The 16,357-nt window shown below is 43.1% G+C and overlaps 1 long non-coding RNA gene and 2 pseudogenes across 2 annotated transcripts in view, besides 1 other annotated feature; 1 reads left to right on the plus strand and 2 right to left on the minus strand.

Moving 5' to 3' along the window:
* On the minus strand, positions 1,894-2,227 carry TP53TG3GP (TP53 target 3 family member G, pseudogene; annotated as a pseudogene).
* The window catches only part of LOC105371200 (uncharacterized), a 36,762-nt gene continuing 22,344 nt past the window's right edge, over positions 1,940-16,357 (plus strand). For both annotated transcript variants that reach the window (NR_188628.1, NR_188627.1), the window contains exon 1: positions 1,940-2,012. This is a non-coding gene — a long non-coding RNA (uncharacterized LOC105371200). The remainder of the gene's footprint in view (positions 2,013-16,357) is intronic.
* On the minus strand, positions 15,574-16,039 carry RARRES2P5 (retinoic acid receptor responder 2 pseudogene 5; annotated as a pseudogene).
* Positions 15,629-15,923: an enhancer, noted in NCBI's record as "tiled region #3600; HepG2 Activating DNase matched - State 12:CtcfO". NCBI's record gives its function as "activates a minimal TATA promoter and a strong SV40 promoter by Sharpr-MPRA in HepG2 cells {active_cell/tissue: HepG2}" and the evidence as "EXISTENCE:reporter gene assay evidence [ECO:0000049][PMID:27701403]".

Consider the following 16,357-nt stretch of genomic DNA (forward strand, 5'->3'; position numbering starts at 1 on the left):
TCAGCAGAGAAATGAAAAGTAGCCAAATATAAAAATATAAAATAAAAACAATAATTTTGAGCTTATCTATAGATCAGAAACAGAAGACAAAGCAATAGAAATTATCTGATGTGAAGATGGAAGTTAAAAAGAAGAAAAAGCTTAAAGAAAATGGACAGAGCATTACAGACCTGTGGAATGATTGAGTCTGACAAAAGGGAAGAGACAGAAAAAATTAAATGGGTACAAAAGTAAATCAACAAAATTTACAGAAAATAAACAGAGCCTTAGAGACCTGTGGAATGATTGAGTCTGAGGAGAGAAGAGAGACAGAAGAATTAGATGGTGTACACAAGTAAATCAACAAGGAATACCTGAAGACTTCGAAAAATTGTTCAAAAACCCAAATTTTTATATCCAAAGGTCCACCTCCTGCCCCCTGCAAAAATACAAATAAAACGATGCCCAGGCCATGTTGTGATTTAGGAAACTAGCAGGGCAGGACTTTCAATTTACTTGATATGATTTATCATTTTTGTTATTTATAAGAATGGAAATAGGTTCTCCTTAGAGTATTTTTCTTGGAGAAAGTCTGCCATGTGAGGCACAGGTGACAGTTATTAAAGGTGGATGACTTTTCCAGCCTTGTCTTAAATGTTCCATATTTTACTTTAGAAATTATTTATATTTGTTTCTTCCAAAGCCTGCAGTAATATTGATGCTCCAGAAAGATGCCCCACGGAGATTCTGCTCGTGTTTCTGCCCTGCAGGGAGCTGAGGCTGTGCCTATGACAGTTTCAACAGCGTGTAGTCTTGGAGTACTTAATCTGAAAAACTTAATGGAAACATGAATTAAGAGAATGATCACTGTTTAGTTATATCAGCAAACTATTAAAAGTGGTCCAATGGGGCTGTTTTTAAAAAGAAATATTAAAAGATTTTCCAAGGGAGCCCTATTCAGGGCAGAAACGCAGACACTGTCCCTGACCTCACCACACAAATTTCCCTCATGTGTTGGGAGCGACCAAGGGGCGCTCTGGCCCTGCTGACCTACGTTAATCACGGCCCGGAGGTTCACACTAGGATCCCGAGGCCTGGGAAGCAGCCTGGGTCGGGTCAGAGGAGTGGTGGAGGTAGCTCCCCAAGCCCCTTCCTGTGGCTGTTTTCTGACTGAATGTAACAGGGTCAGGTCTTTCCCCTGGGACGTTTTCTCCTCTTTATTGCAGTGGCGGAAGCGTCCCCGTGAGAGGCCCGACCCAGGTGTGGGCCCTGCCACCGGCCAGGGGTCCAAGGGGCGCTCCTGGGGTGAAGGAGGATTTGTGACAACCCAGAGCACAGCGGAAATGGTGGTTTTGAAAAAGCAAACGGCAGGTGACTAGTGACAGGAAGTTTTCATTTCTGGCAGTGAACTGATGGCTTCAGATACTCGCGAGGGAGCTTTTCGAGGGGATCCCAAGAAGCCTGGGAACTGGCGGGTCCGCGGCCATTTGCCAACCTCTCGGGAGGGGTGCACTGCGCATGTGTGAAATGATAGGCCTGGTAGCCCATTCCTAGCGACGCGCTGCCACTGCGCATGTCTGAATGGGCAGTCCCATTACCCTACCCCTAGGGACGGGTGCACTGCGCATGTCTGAAAGGGCAAGCCCGTTACCCCACCCCTAGGGACGGGCTGCACAACGCATGTCTGAAAGAACAGGCTCTTGACCCTACCCCAACGGACGGGGGCATTGCGCATGTATGAAAGGGCGGGACCGCCCCATAGGGACCCCACCCATAGGGACGGGCTGCATTGCGCATGTCTGCAAGGGCGTGGCAAGGGGAGGAATGAGCGGGAAGGGGCGGGGCTGAGTGGACTGGCGGGACGAGAAAAGGGGCGGGGCGTGCCCAATCCGGCCGAGGAGCGTTACCATGGCAACCGTGCCGCGGAGGCCTTGAGAGGCCACACGCCCTATGTTGGTCTGCGAGAAATCAAACTTCGAACAGGACAAGCCCGAAGCCCGCTTCTCCGGGAGACGGGGTGCCACAATTGCAAGGTAAAACTAGCAGACATAGTTGCACTGTCTCCCCAGGCGGGAGAGATTTGGGAACAGCAAGGCTTCCCTCCCCATGGCCAAAGGGCTCGGCTGCATGGAAGGGCTGGGCAGGGAGCAGAATAGTCTTAAGGCATTGCATTAGTTACAGTGTCTGGTCCGCTCCTCGCAGATTGGTTGCAGGGCAGAGGGTCTGCAATGTCGGCCTGCTCCGGGCTGGGGGAGCGCGTAGCTCTGGGGAGGGGCAGGGCGGTGCCCGCCTCGCGGGACATGCTAGGAGTTGCAGTTTCTTCACTGGTTCCCAACGGTGGATGGCGGAGCTGCAGGATGACAACACAGATTGAGACAGGAGAGGACGCGGGGGCGCATCCCTAGAGGGAGGGGCAGGGTGGTGTAAGCGGCTTCACTTGCAAAGCTTTGCTGGCCATTGATTCCATGCCAAACCGTCGCCAAGGGGACTGAGTCAGGAGAGGAACTTGAGGGGCAGGTCTGGGTTGGGCAGTGAGGAGGGTGTGTTGCTGTGAAGTGCACCCCGCATTTGCCCAAATCAGGAGTGTCTGGTCCTCACTCACCCGCCTTCCGTCTACTCAGCTCGACTTTCTATCCTACCGGCACCCAGGGTCTTTCCACAGCATCGCGCCTCCTCCAGCCCCTGGAGCCGCCAGCTTTCTTAAGTGGCTATGGGAACTAGCCTGAGGTCCCAGACGCTGTCCACTGTGCTGCTGCCCTCCGCTATCTCCAAGCAGAGCGCAGGTTCAGCTGCCTTTGAAAGACACCTACCGCCTGGCCTGGGGATGCACAAGTTCAGAGCTTTGCAGGGAGAGACCATGGGCTGGGGCTTCGCCCAATTGTCACCCTCACCAGTGCCTTTTTTGCAGATGTGGACGTGGAGGCATGAGGGAGGGTAATTATTTGGTTACCAAGGTGCTGCTAAGAGCAGAGGAGAAAACCCCAATTCCCAGTCATGTGTCTGGTGTGACATTTCACCAACCCATTTAAGTGAGCAGGCCCCCAAATACCTACCTAAAATTTTTGATGGTTTAGGCATTTTACACTTAAAATCACTGGCCTCATGTCGACTGAAGCCTAACTGGCCACTGTCTCAAACACACAGATGATGACCTGATCCCTCAGGAATAGATTTGTGGGAGTAACTTTCAACGTATGGAGCACTTGTGTGGGGGAGTCTTTCATACCTGTCAGGTTTCACATCTCTGCTTTGCGTGAAAAGCTCATCATCCACAGCAGTCAGGGATGTGCCTTTACTTGCTGGGGCTGATCTGTTGAAATTTATGTCTAAACAGTGGAAACACCCAGGAGCATTTCTGCTTTCATGTAGCCCCTTAATAATTGACGCCCTAAAGTCCTGTGTCTTCAGGGACAGTTCCTTTGATTCCTGCATGGTACCAGCTTTCATGCTGTTAAATCTAATCTGTAAAAAATCTGAGTGTTAATCTCCATGAAAATAAGATCTTGTTCTTTCTCATTTAAATGCCCTTCCTTTTTTTCTCTTTTCTAATGTTCTGAGTAGGATTTCCAGTACTGTGTTGAAAGAAGTAGTGAGAGTGGGCATCTTTATCTTAAAATAAATCTTAGAAAAAAAGATTCCAACATTTCACCATTTTCTATAGTGTTAGCTATGGGCTTGTCCTATAGTTAATAAAGAATGTATTTCTTTATCATGAGGTATATTCTTTCTGTATACCTAATTCCTTATACATTTTATTAGAAATGGATTTTAAATTTTGTCAAAATAATTTTAGGCATGCATAAAAATGTCATGATTTTTAATCTTTTTATTGTATAAATAAAGTGTATGGCATTTATTAATTTCCACATACTAAAATATTCTTACATCCCAGGAATAAATCCAACTTGATCATAATACATGATGCTTTTAAAGTGCTTTTGAATTTCATTTGCGTCTTTGTGGATGATTTTGCATCTATGTTCATTGGGGATATTGGCCTTTAATTTTTTTTCTTTTAATGTCCGTCTCTGGCTTTGGTATCAGGGTAATGCTGGCTTCATAAAATGGGTTTGGCAGTATTCCTTTTTCTTCAATTTTTTCAAAGATTTGATTCTTTTTAAATGTTTGGTAAAATTCAGCAGCAATCAGATCTAAACTTCTTACTCATTACTGATCTATTCATACTTTCTATTTTTTATGGTTCAGTCTTGGTAGGTTGTACATGTCTAGAAATTTATTCATGTCTTCTACTTTATCCAATTTGTTGGGATATAATTGTACATAGGAGTGTATGTACATAGTAGTCTTATAACCTTTTGTATTTCTGTTTTACCAGTTGTATTGTCTTCCCTTTTATTCTGATTTTATTTATTTGAGCATTTTTTTCTTAGTCTAGCTAAATATATGTCAGTTTTGTGATTCCAAAAATCTCTTACTTTTTTTCTACATTTTCTGTTGTTTTTCTAGTCTCCATTATATTTATTTCTGCTCTAATTTTTTTATTATTAATTTCATCACCTGGTAACTTTGGGATAATTTCTTTCTCTTCTAGTTTCTTGAGTTATATCATTATTTGTTTTTTTTGTGATCTGTCTTCTCTTCAGATGAAGGTGTATACTGCCACTCAATCTCACTGGGATTGGCACCCATATGCACTATGGTCATTTTGCTTGAGTCCATCAAACTTCTGATCCTAAGATTGCACCTTTGGCATACTGGTAAGCAGCAGTGCTAAAAGCCCACACGATGAGTAGGGGTTTTACAGTGAGAGAATTACCCACATGTTTTGGGAGGGACTAATATCAAATGCTCTTTTTCCTTTTTATTACTCATCAGTGCCTAAACCATAAGTCACAAGGAAGGTGCACCTCATCATGAGAATGCATGTGACAGCAGCAAAGGAAGCAGCAGCTCAGAAAAGACAAGGCCACTGTTCTTGCTTGCGTGACAGTAGCACTTGTTAGGGCAACTGAGTGACATGCATAATTCTCTCCAAAGTAAAAGTCCCTTTTGTTTCTGCAGTTTTACAAAAGACCATCCCTGGGCCTACCCTGAGAGTGTGGAATAATAAATAATGTTCAGATGACTACCCACACATTTAGTAATGATAACCATATCAGATAAAGTGACCACAGGTTTATAGCCAGACTCTTTGTAATCAGGACTGAACTGCAGACTGATTAAGGTGCTGTGTTTTCACTGCCTTGGCAGGCAAGTGTCTTGCAAACTGCCTGCCAAACACAGGCTAAACATGATGACCCATCATGCTGGAGCACAGTCAATTGACCATTTATGTCTAGGTGATGAGTGTGCTTAAGTGTGGGTAGGGAAGGCAACTCATGATAAAGGCCACAAACTTCTATTTAGACCAAAGCAAAAGCCCAACAGCAACTGGTGGTTCTGACTGAGGTGACTTTTAATGTATCGTGAAACCAGTAGGCCAAAAGCAGTTAAAGTTGAGCAGATGTCCTCAGTCATGGGTGGTTAATCCAGTTAGTGTTGTGAATTGTTTGATTAGCCTCTCCTTTACCCCATTGGCGAGGGAGAAATTACCACTCTAGGGCTACTGGAACAATTAAAACCATGGCATCAATCATTGGACAGATGAGACTGACAGCAGTTATTCATTACATATAATCATGGAAGGAGGAAAGTATGTAAGGTAAACACATCCACACAGGGATTGCACTTGGGAGCAGAGAGAAGAAACAGGAGGTGTCGGGAAAGGCTTTGTAGTATCAAGAGGGTGAGATGCTCCTGGTTTCTACAGGATGTTGTTATTGATTGGTCTGAATAATTCTGTGATCTTGGGGGAAACTGAAACACATTATACCACCAACTGCTAAGACTGCAGTAACATATTCTAATAGTGTAATGCTGTAATGTGTTATTTACTATAATACTAATTACAGTATGTTCTCACTTTGTTGATAGATTCTTGGAAACTGTGACTTTTTATTACTATATAAATGAAACCAAACTTACCATTGGCTAATGATATAAACAAGAGTTACTTTCCTATGATATATAGTTTTTTATTTCACTTAAAATCAGTTTCCAAAAACCTATCAATGACATTAAGTGAGCACTTACTGAACTTCTGTTTTAGTGATGTGTAATAGAAAGTAGCTATATAAAATATACTATTCATGCAGAAAACTGTACTTTGTGCTACACATTACAGTCATGAAACACAAAACAATGTTCTAGAAATGGACAGACCATATATATTACGTTGTTTTGTTGTAAGTAGGTAAATGTAAACCTACCTTTAAAGGCCAAAAGAGTTGAGAGGTTGAAGAGGCTGACAAATCAAGTTTCTTAGGAGAAAATATTTAAGAGGGACTTATGAATAGAAGCTATGTATCAGATGGATGAAGATGGTGGATCCCCACACTGTTACCAACCCTCCCCCCAAAACCCAGACACTTATCCCAGGAAAGGGATGTGAAGGACAATTGAAATCACTATATGAATTTGCCTAAGGTTTGGATTTATTCTAAGTACTTGTTCACAATAAATTCAAGGTTGTTTTGACTTAAGAGTAGAGCTTACAGAAACAGTAGGTTTCAATATATAACAAAGGTACTTGAACCCCCCGCCACAAAAAACATTAGAAGTACCTGTGTTATAATTTTAATTTTTTTTCAGTAATTTAAAATCTTAAAATCTTGTTATGTTAAATTAAGTAATCTTAAGTTTCTCACTAAAAATTAACATTGCTAAGCATTAAAATAATAGTTTTAAGTGCCAGGCGCGGTGGCTCACGCCTGTAATCCCAGCACTTTGGGAGGCCGAAGCAGGGGATCATGAGATCAGGAGATGGAGACCATCCTGGCCAGCATGGTGAAACCTCGTCTCTACTAAAAAATACAAAAAATTAGGCGGGTGTGGTGGCAGGCGCCTGTAGTCCCAGCTACTCAGGAGGCTGAGGCAGGAGAATGGCATGAACCTGGGTGGCAGAGCTTGCAGTGAGCCAAGATCGCGCCACTGCATTCCAGCCTGGGCGACAGAACGAGACTCTGTCTCAAAAAAAAAAAAAGTTTTAAGAAAGTTTTTACCCCAGCACCAGTGATTGGATAATAGAGCTCCAGGCCCCACCTCTTTGGGGTGAAAAGTTCCAAGCTGCAGCCCTTTTCAGGCAGGCCTTCCTCCTTATTCTGAAGCCTGGCCCTCACTGTAGGACATTTGCATTTAACCTTGTATATAACATTATTTTTTTTATAAATTATATGTATGTGGCCAGGAGTTCAAGAGCAGCGTGTACAACATACACACTGGGAAGGGTATGTATGTCGTACAATAAAATGAAAAAAATTAGCCAGGCATTGTCGTGCATGTCTGTGGTCCCAGCTACTTCATGACCAAATGGAACTATTTCACAAATGCAATGTTGACCAATCCAATAATCAATGCATTAAACAAAGTGATAGGATAAAGGAAAGTAACAGAAACATCCCTTCAACAGCCACAAAGAACATTTGACCAATCCAATATTCATTCACAATTAATCACCCTGGAAAGGAGGAGTACAAGCACATTTCCTAGATCTGCTAAAGGGCATCAGTGAAAAACTTATGGCTAACCCCATAATAATAAAATAATGGTTGTGTCTTGACATTTGAAAACAAGACAAAAATATTAACATCCAAAGAAATTACATAAGAAAAATAAAATTATCCATGTGGGAAAATAAGAGGTTAGAATTCTCTATCATTGCAGATGACATAACATGAATATAAAAGTTTATAAGAAATTCATTAAAACCCACTACAACCAATAAATGAGTTGAGCAAGGTAACAAGATACAAAATCAATATACAAAGTTCAATTGTACTTTTATGTACTAGCAATGATCAACCTGAAAATAAAATTAAGAAAACAATTCCATTCGTGTATATATGAAAAAGAAAGAAATATTTAGGAGTAGATTTAATCAAGTGCAATTTTACAGTAAAAATAAAAACTTTGCTAAAATAGATTTTTTTAAAAAGTGAAAAAAATTGGCACTGATGCTCATTTAGTTAATCTTATTCCATTATTTAGTGTATCCATTTAAACTCCACACAATAAAATAAAATGTATTTTGGCATTATTTTTAGAGTAATAAATACAGCTTGGCAGAAAACTCATAAATATAAAAGGAACTAATTCTACATGTCCAGAATGGCCTATCCTAATTTTTCTGTTTTACATATACTATAAATCAAATAGATTTTGTTCCATATTGTGAAGCACAAATTCAAAGTTTTCTTTTTTTTTTTTTTTTGAGACAGAGTCTCCCTCTGTCACCCAGGCTGGAGTGCAGTGGCGCCATCTCGGCTCACTGCAAGCTCCGCCTCCCAGATTCATGCCATTCTCCTGTCTCAGCCTCCCAAGTAGATGGGACTACAGGCGCCAGCCACCACCCCCGGCTAATTCTTTGTATTTTCAGTAGAGACAGGGTTTCACTGTGTTAGCCAGGATGGTCTCAATCTCCTGATCTCATGATCCGCCCACCTTGGCCTCCTAAAGTGCTGGGATTACAGGCGTGAGCCACCATGCCCGGCCTCATGTAATCTTACTTTAGGAGAAACCGCCTCTAACTTTAGGCATTTGCTCATAGCAGGTGCTAAATGAACCAATGCCAAATTAGCATTGTTTTTAGGGTAATAAATCTGCATATCTACAGTGAGAACTCACTGTAGAGGATTTTGTCTTCTGAGCAATGACATGATTCTATCTTTCATGGGCTACTCCAGAACTTCTATAATGATGGTAGAGTTCAGTGAAGTGGAGCCTCAGGCCTGCCATCCCCATGCTTCTGGCAAGCAGCAGCATCTCCCCTGAGCATGGTGGCATAGGGCATGCCATTAAAACCACCTTGCTGCTGTTCATCTCCACATACTAAGTTGCTGTACACTTTGCAGTGGAATTCCACCTTGCTGCATCTGGTTGGCCAGAAGCCCTGCAGATAGAATGGAATGGTCAGAAGGGCACATTGAGAGAATAGATGGGAGCTTAGAGGCTGCCCACCTTGCTGGCCCCTGCCCATGGGTCACAGCCCTCACCCAGCTGTCCAGCTTGTATGTCTGCTGAAGGCTGCTGAACTTGTTCTCCATCACAGAGGTGGTGTGACAGCAGTCTGAGGGCACCACACTCCATGACTGGGCTCTACTGCTGGTGCTGTGGGAAGGCAGGTGACCCAAAGACAGGTCCTGCCTTCCACTTCCAGGCCACACTCCCACCAACTTCCAGGCCCACCTTGATATTCTGATGTGATGCTCTTTTCAGAGCTCTTCTTATTGCCTGGGACAATTTTATATTATTATATCATAAATATGATAAAAATATGATATTAGGACATCACAATATTATGATATCATAATTCATATGTATTTATAACATCACAATGTATTATGACATCATAATCTGTATTATGACACCATTGTCTATTATGATGTCATAATTTCCATGTATTGTGACATCACAATATATTATGACTCCATAATGTGCATGTATTAAAACATCACAATATATTACGATAGCATAATGGATAGGGATTATGACATCACACCATATTACAACATCATAATTTGTATGTGTTATGACATCACAATATATCATGACATCATAATTTATATGTATTATGATGAATTCATACATATTACATAATTTGCATGTAATACGATGTATTACAAATTATTATGTAATTCGTATGTATTACATATGTGTTAGATTGTTCTGGATGTCCTGGGCTCTAGGGGGCAGGCGGTAGGTGGGAGGAGACACCCAGGTTGCAGAGGGAGTGATTGGGACACAGGGCCCTGGGGTTCCAGGAGCAGTAAAGAGGCCAAGACTGGCCTGTGGGGACTTAGATGTTGGCTCTGGGTGAGGTTGTTACCGCAGATGTGAGCACAGCAGTGCTCATGGGCTCAGGTGGCTGTTGTGTGGAAGATGGACAGAGGGGTTAAGGTACCAGGAGACAAAAGCTATAGCCCAGCAGGAGGGGAGGGTGGCTGTGGGGGCAGTAAAAGGGGTGCCAACAGCAGTTTTGGTGGATGGGCAGTGGGTGTGAGAGAGCAGGCAGGGGGATAATGCCCAGGCATTCTGGCTTGGAACAGTGGCAGGTGGACTTTGCCCAGCTGCGGAGGGGTCTGTCAGGGAGATAGGGCTTCTGATTTCAGAGGAGACCAGAGGTGTGCTCATGCAGATGAGGGTCCTCATGGGATGGACATGGAAGGGGCAGCTACAACCTGGGGACAAATGGTGGTGGGCTGAGCCTCTGGGACTTCTGGAGTGAGCAGGCAAGAACGTGAGGAGGAGCCAGGCAGGGAGCCAGAGGCAGAGGGTAAAGAGTAAAGTAGAGCCCAGGAAAGGGGCAGATCCAGCAAGTAGATGAAAATTTCCCCTCACCTGCCCCATTGGCCTCTGTCCCTGCCCACACGCCCTAGTGCCCTCGCCCTGAGTCTCTGCTTGTCTCTGCCTACCTGGCCATCCCAGACAGGTGTGGGGTAATTGTGAGGGTAACTGAAGGGCCACTTTCAGAAGGCACAGTCTAGAAGTGAACAGCATTGAGTCACTGTCGTCTCCCAGTCCTGGGAAGAGCATCTGCCACAACCCGCTGAGCTGTCTTCATCACCAATGGGTCGCCTTCCCCACCCCTGGAGGTCCAGAGGACAGCTCAGAGCTGTGATTGGTGCCTCTTCCCAGTGTCTCTCTACACTGCTCCTGCCTGTGCCTCAGCATCCTCCTCTGAGAGGTGGGCCTGTCGCTGCACGTGAATGGCGAGCAGGTCACTGTGGGGAAGGGCCTCCTCCTTCCTCTTTCCTGGGCTCCTGGTGCCTGTCTCCTGGGGGTATGGCAATCCAGCCTACCCATGAGTCCAGGCAAAAAGGCAGCCCTACTCCAGCCCCCAGAAAGAAGAAAAACTAGTTGAGCTTTCGGGGGAGGAATGGTGAAAGCCTGCACACTAGGACAAAAAAGAGTTGAGGCCTCCAGGAGGCCATGCTTACTGGTGCCTGCTGGGCCCTGGAGCTGTGCAGGAGGTGGCTTAGGGACTCAGAGACTTGTGGGCCAAGGCTTCTCAGCTGCTTCTGAGGCTCCTAGCTCTGCAAGGGGCTGGGTTTCCCCTCCTGGTAAAGTGCTCTCACTGCCTGTCCTGGCTTGTTCACTTAGCTGGGCTACCTGCTGGGCCACCTTCCTCATGGGCCCTCCCATTGTGCCTCCCTGGGTGGGTGGGGGCTCCCCTGTAGAGACTCCCTTATTCCCTGAGGCTTTCAGTCCAGGAAGAAGCACCCCAACTTCTCAGCAGGAGTAGCCACTTGGGGGAAGCAGAGGGAATGGGATGGGACACTTGGCCCATCTCTGAGCATGACTGGATGGGAACATCGTGTTGTAGCTCCTGGGAGCCTCAGGCAGTGCAGGAAGAGGTCCTTGAAAGGCCAACACTCTACCTACACAGAAGGGAAAACTGAGGCTGGGGGTGGGCAGGGCGACCTTGAATTGGGGGTCTGGTCAGATGGGTCTCTGCTCCTCACCTCAGCTATAGCCTTCATGCACACTTCCATCAGGAGAGGCCCCTTACTGGACTTGGCCCCAGTGGATGGACAGGAAACTTCCAGCGATGGTGGCCACCCAAACCAACTTTCACTGCCTGGCTCCTGGCAACCCCACCGTCTCCATCTTCTGGCTCCCATTTATCTGCTTTTTTATTTTTAGGAAATTGTGGGCATCAGCTCAGGATAGGCAGCAGGAGCTACCACTCAAATTTCTGGTCTCCTTTAATTAGTTCTGTGAGAGGAGATTCTAGGGTGAGGGCAAACCTAGATGAGGCCTTAGTAGAGGGTGGATTCAGGCAGGGCTGCAACAGAAAGTGAGCCTCATGCATCCGATGTCTGTGATGGTGGAGTATTTCCAGCTCTGTTTTTCCTAAGCCTGCCTAATAGAAACTTGACTCCTTGAGTTTGTATAATTTTTAATCTATTTTAGCCATTTTCCTATCAATTTTTATAACACACAATAACAAGGAATTTAACCGAAACTCTTAGCGTTTTTTAGGAAAATTATATGAGAATCTAAAAAGTTTATTTTTACTAAGGTAAAAGAAATAGGAATAATTCAACAACAGCAATAATTCTTCTGTCCACGAGTAGCCCTTTAGTTAGTGACATCGGAACTCACAACAGTCTATGGGAAGTGGAACAAATGCAGCTAAAATCCCCTGTACACCTCCCTTCTTTCTTCTGATCACAGAATGTTGAATTCAATTTGCTCTAGAATGAAAGTATCTGGACAGTATAAACCATACATGTTTCATCTGTTTTTCTAATGGTCATATGATAGAGTTTAGACGTTTGTTCCAAATCTCATATTGAATGTTAATCCCTAATGTTACAGTTGGGGCCTGATGGGAGGTGTTTGAATCATGGGGATGGATTTCTCATGGCTGCGTGCTGTCCATGTCATGGTGAGTACTCGCGAGATCTGGTGGTTTAAAAGTATGTTGTATCCCTCCCCCATCTTTCTTGTTCCCACTCCTACCATGTGAGATGCCTGCTTCAATTTCATCTTTCACCATGATTGTAAGCCAATTCATGGACCCCTTCCAAACCTGCAGAATCACATCACTAAGAGAGAGGCCTAGAATCAGAAATGATTTGTATGTACATTGAAACTGCACAGGCAATGCTTCTCTAAGTGGCTGTCAGCTTAGGCTTCCAACCGTAGTCACATGACCACTTTAAAGACATACCATCACCTGTGCCCTCCCCACAGATACTGTCTGTTGATCTTGGTGGGACCATCCATATGGTTTAAATTAGGAAGTCAAATTGTCCCTTTTTGATGATTACATAATATTATATACAGAAAAATCTAAAGATCACCAAAAACTTTTAGATTTGTTAAATGAATTTAATAATGTTGCAGGACATGAAAATCAATGCACAAAAATTAGTAGTATTTTTATATACTAATAATTATCAAGCTGAGAACCTAATTAAAAAGTCAATTTCTTTTTACAATAGCTACAAAAAAGGTTGAAATACCTAGAAATACAATTAATCAAATAGGCGAAAGATCTCTATAAGGAAAACTACAAAACACTGATGAAATAAATTGTATAAGACACAGACAATGAGAAAAACATCCGTGCTCATGGACTGGAAGAATTATTATCATTAAAATGACCATAGTGCCTCAAACAATCTACATATTAAATGTAATTCCTACCAAAATGCCAATTGTTTTTATAGAATTGGAACAAAATTTAAATTCATATGGAACCATAGAAAAGCCTAAATAGCCAAAGCAAATTTAAGCAAAGACAACATACATTACCTGACTCAGAATTATACTGGAAGGCTTTAATAACCAAAACAGCATGGTACTGATATAAATAGATACATAGATCAATGGAACAGAATAGAGAACCTAGAAATAAAGCCACATACCTACACACAACTGATCTCTTACAAAGTCAACAAAAACATACATGGGAAAATGACATTCTAATCAACATATTGTGCTAGAAAAATTATATTAGTATATGCAGAAGCATGAAATGGAATCCCTAACCCTCACCATATACAAAAATCAACTCAATATGGATTAGAAGACTAAAATGTAAGACCTGAAATGATAACAATTTTAGAAGAAACCCTATGATAAACTCAGCTGGACATTGGCATGAACAAATAATTCATGACTAAGATCTCAAAAGCAGATGCAACAATAACAAAAATATATAAATGGAAACATAGACCAATGGGCCCATGAAAGAGGAAGGAGGCAGCCCCTTCCCCACAGTGATTTAATTAAACTAAAAAGCTCCTGAAAAGAAGCTTTATTTAACAGGTGACCAGACAACCTATGGAATATGAAAAATATTTGCGAACTATGCATGTAACAAAGAACTAATGTCCAGAATATACAAGGAAATCAAACATCTCAACAAGAATAAAACAAGTAACCTCATTAAAAAGCAGTCAAATAATGGGAACATATATTTTTCAAAAAGAAGACAACAATAGCCAATAAGCATGTAAAAAATGCTCAACATTGCCAATGATCAGAGAAATGCCAATTAAAAACCATTTTACATCATTCATAATGGCTAATTATTTAAAAAGCAGAAAAATGACATATACTGGCAAGGATACAGAGAAAAGAGAATACTTATACATTGTGTGTGAGAATGTAAATTTCTACAAACTCTATGGAAAACAGTATGGAGATTTCTCAAAAAACTAAAAATAGAACTTCCATTTGATCCAGCATTCTCACTACTGGGTATCTACCCAAAGGAAAATAAATCATTACATAAAGAAGATAGCCACACCCATATATTTATTACAGCACTATTCACAATAGCAAAGATAGGGAGTCAATTTAAATTTATCAATCAATGATTGAATAAAGAAAATTTGCTATACATTTATACCATGGAATACTACTCAGCCATAAAGAAAAATAAAATCATGTCTTTTGCAGCAACATGAATGGAACTGGAGGCCATAACTGTAAGTGAAATAACACAGAAACAGAAAAAAATACTAAATTTTCTCACTTATATGTGGGAGCTCAAAAATGCATACACTTGGATATAGAGACTGGAAAAATAAACACTGGAGACTCAGAAAGATGAAAGATTGGTAGAGGGTTTAGGAATGACAAAATACCTCATTGGGACAATGAGCACTGTTCAGATGATTGTTACATCGAAAGACCCTACTTCACCACTATGCAACATATCCATGTAATGAAACTGCATTTGTAATTAATAAAGAGAAAAAAAAACTGACTGTTATCAAGAGGGCAGAGTGAATAGATCTCATAATTTTCATTAGTATTTAGGCAGAAAAATAATTATACAAAATAAATAAAGTATACATATATATAGAAGTCTCTTAATTCTCTTACATTTATATATATATATATATATATATATAGTTCTTTTTTTTTTTTTTTTTTTTTGAGCCAAAGTCTCGCTTTGTTTCTCAGGCTGGAGTACAGTGGTGTGATTTCGGCTCACTGCAACCTCTGGTTACCAGGTTCAAGCAATTCTCCTGCCTCAGCCTCCTGAGTAGCTGAGCCACCATGCCCGGACAATAATATTGTATTTTAAGAATGGTATAAAGAGATAATTTGATGAATTAGAGTAGTTAGTACTTATCACAGAGAATATGCAAGGAAAGATTCTAAGCCATTAGACATTTGTAGACAGAATATTTAGCAGTGTAAAATAAATAACAGGAAGATTCACTGGCAATGACAAATTGACATATTTTAATCATATTAGATGATATTAAAGCCATTATAAAATTTACTGTTTTGTTTCATAATAAAGGGTCATAATGTTAAATAATTTCATTAAAAAGTTTGACTAATTAGGCATATATATAAATGGGCAGCATGTTGACCAGTAAACAGAGAATACACATTATTTTCAAACACCAAACAAAATTATTTTGTATTTATTTATTTTTGGTGGGGGGAGCGGTTTATTAGCTGGGGATATAGTGGGGTCCTCTCCCTGGGAGGTGGGGTCTTCCGCTGGTCACACCCGGCAGTGGTCCAGGAGGCGCCATGCAATTCAGTGCTGGGCTCAGGTGGGGGCCGGGCCTTGGAGAAGGTGAACTGTGCAGGGTAGCAGTAGCTGTGGGGCTGTCGCTGCCCACTGCGCCCTGCTGCACTGGGTCCCTGGTGCTCCTCAGGCTCCCGCCGAGCCTGAGTCTCTATAAGGCAGTGGCCATCTAGCCTAGAGCCTTATCCTAAGAGCCCAGTTTGACGCAGGCCAGGCATTTCCGCTTACTCCCGCTAGGTTGGACTTTGCGCTCAGATTGCATCCAGTCCACCTTCTGGCCGCTTGTATGCCTGAGCTTAAATTACAGCCTCACAAATGTTCCAGCTGGGAAGGCCGTGTCCATGGTGCCGTACACACTGGTCTCCCAGAAGGCCACTGCACAGGCGGGTGGATTCCTCCAGGGTCACCTGCAGGCCCTGGCGCTGGGCCCCATGAGCTCGGCCCTGCCTGAGCCCCTCTTGCCCACCCCCGGGGCTAGCGGGATCCGCAGCCCTCGCTTCCTTCCGCTGTCACCCAGGCCCTGCGAAGCGGGTATGCACCCCTCAGCTTTCCGAGCCCGCGGGGAGCCGCCTCCTCCCCTTTCCTGCCCCTGGGGCCCATGGCCGCAGAACGCCAGGCAGAGGCGAAGAAACAGGGAGATGTCCCTTTCTCCAAATTGACCTTGGGGTCCGCCTGGTCCTCTCCACTCCCTCCCACCCTGCCCACACTGGGCCCCTGCCCAGGCCGGGAAGCAGTCCTGTTGCCCACTCCCACCCTTCACCCCTTTTCCGACTCATTCTCTCTTTCCACTGGGTTTCCAACAGGACACTCTTT

This window comes from Homo sapiens, chromosome 16 (assembly GCF_000001405.40).
Source record: "Homo sapiens chromosome 16, GRCh38.p14 Primary Assembly".
NCBI lineage: Eukaryota > Metazoa > Chordata > Mammalia > Primates > Hominidae > Homo > Homo sapiens.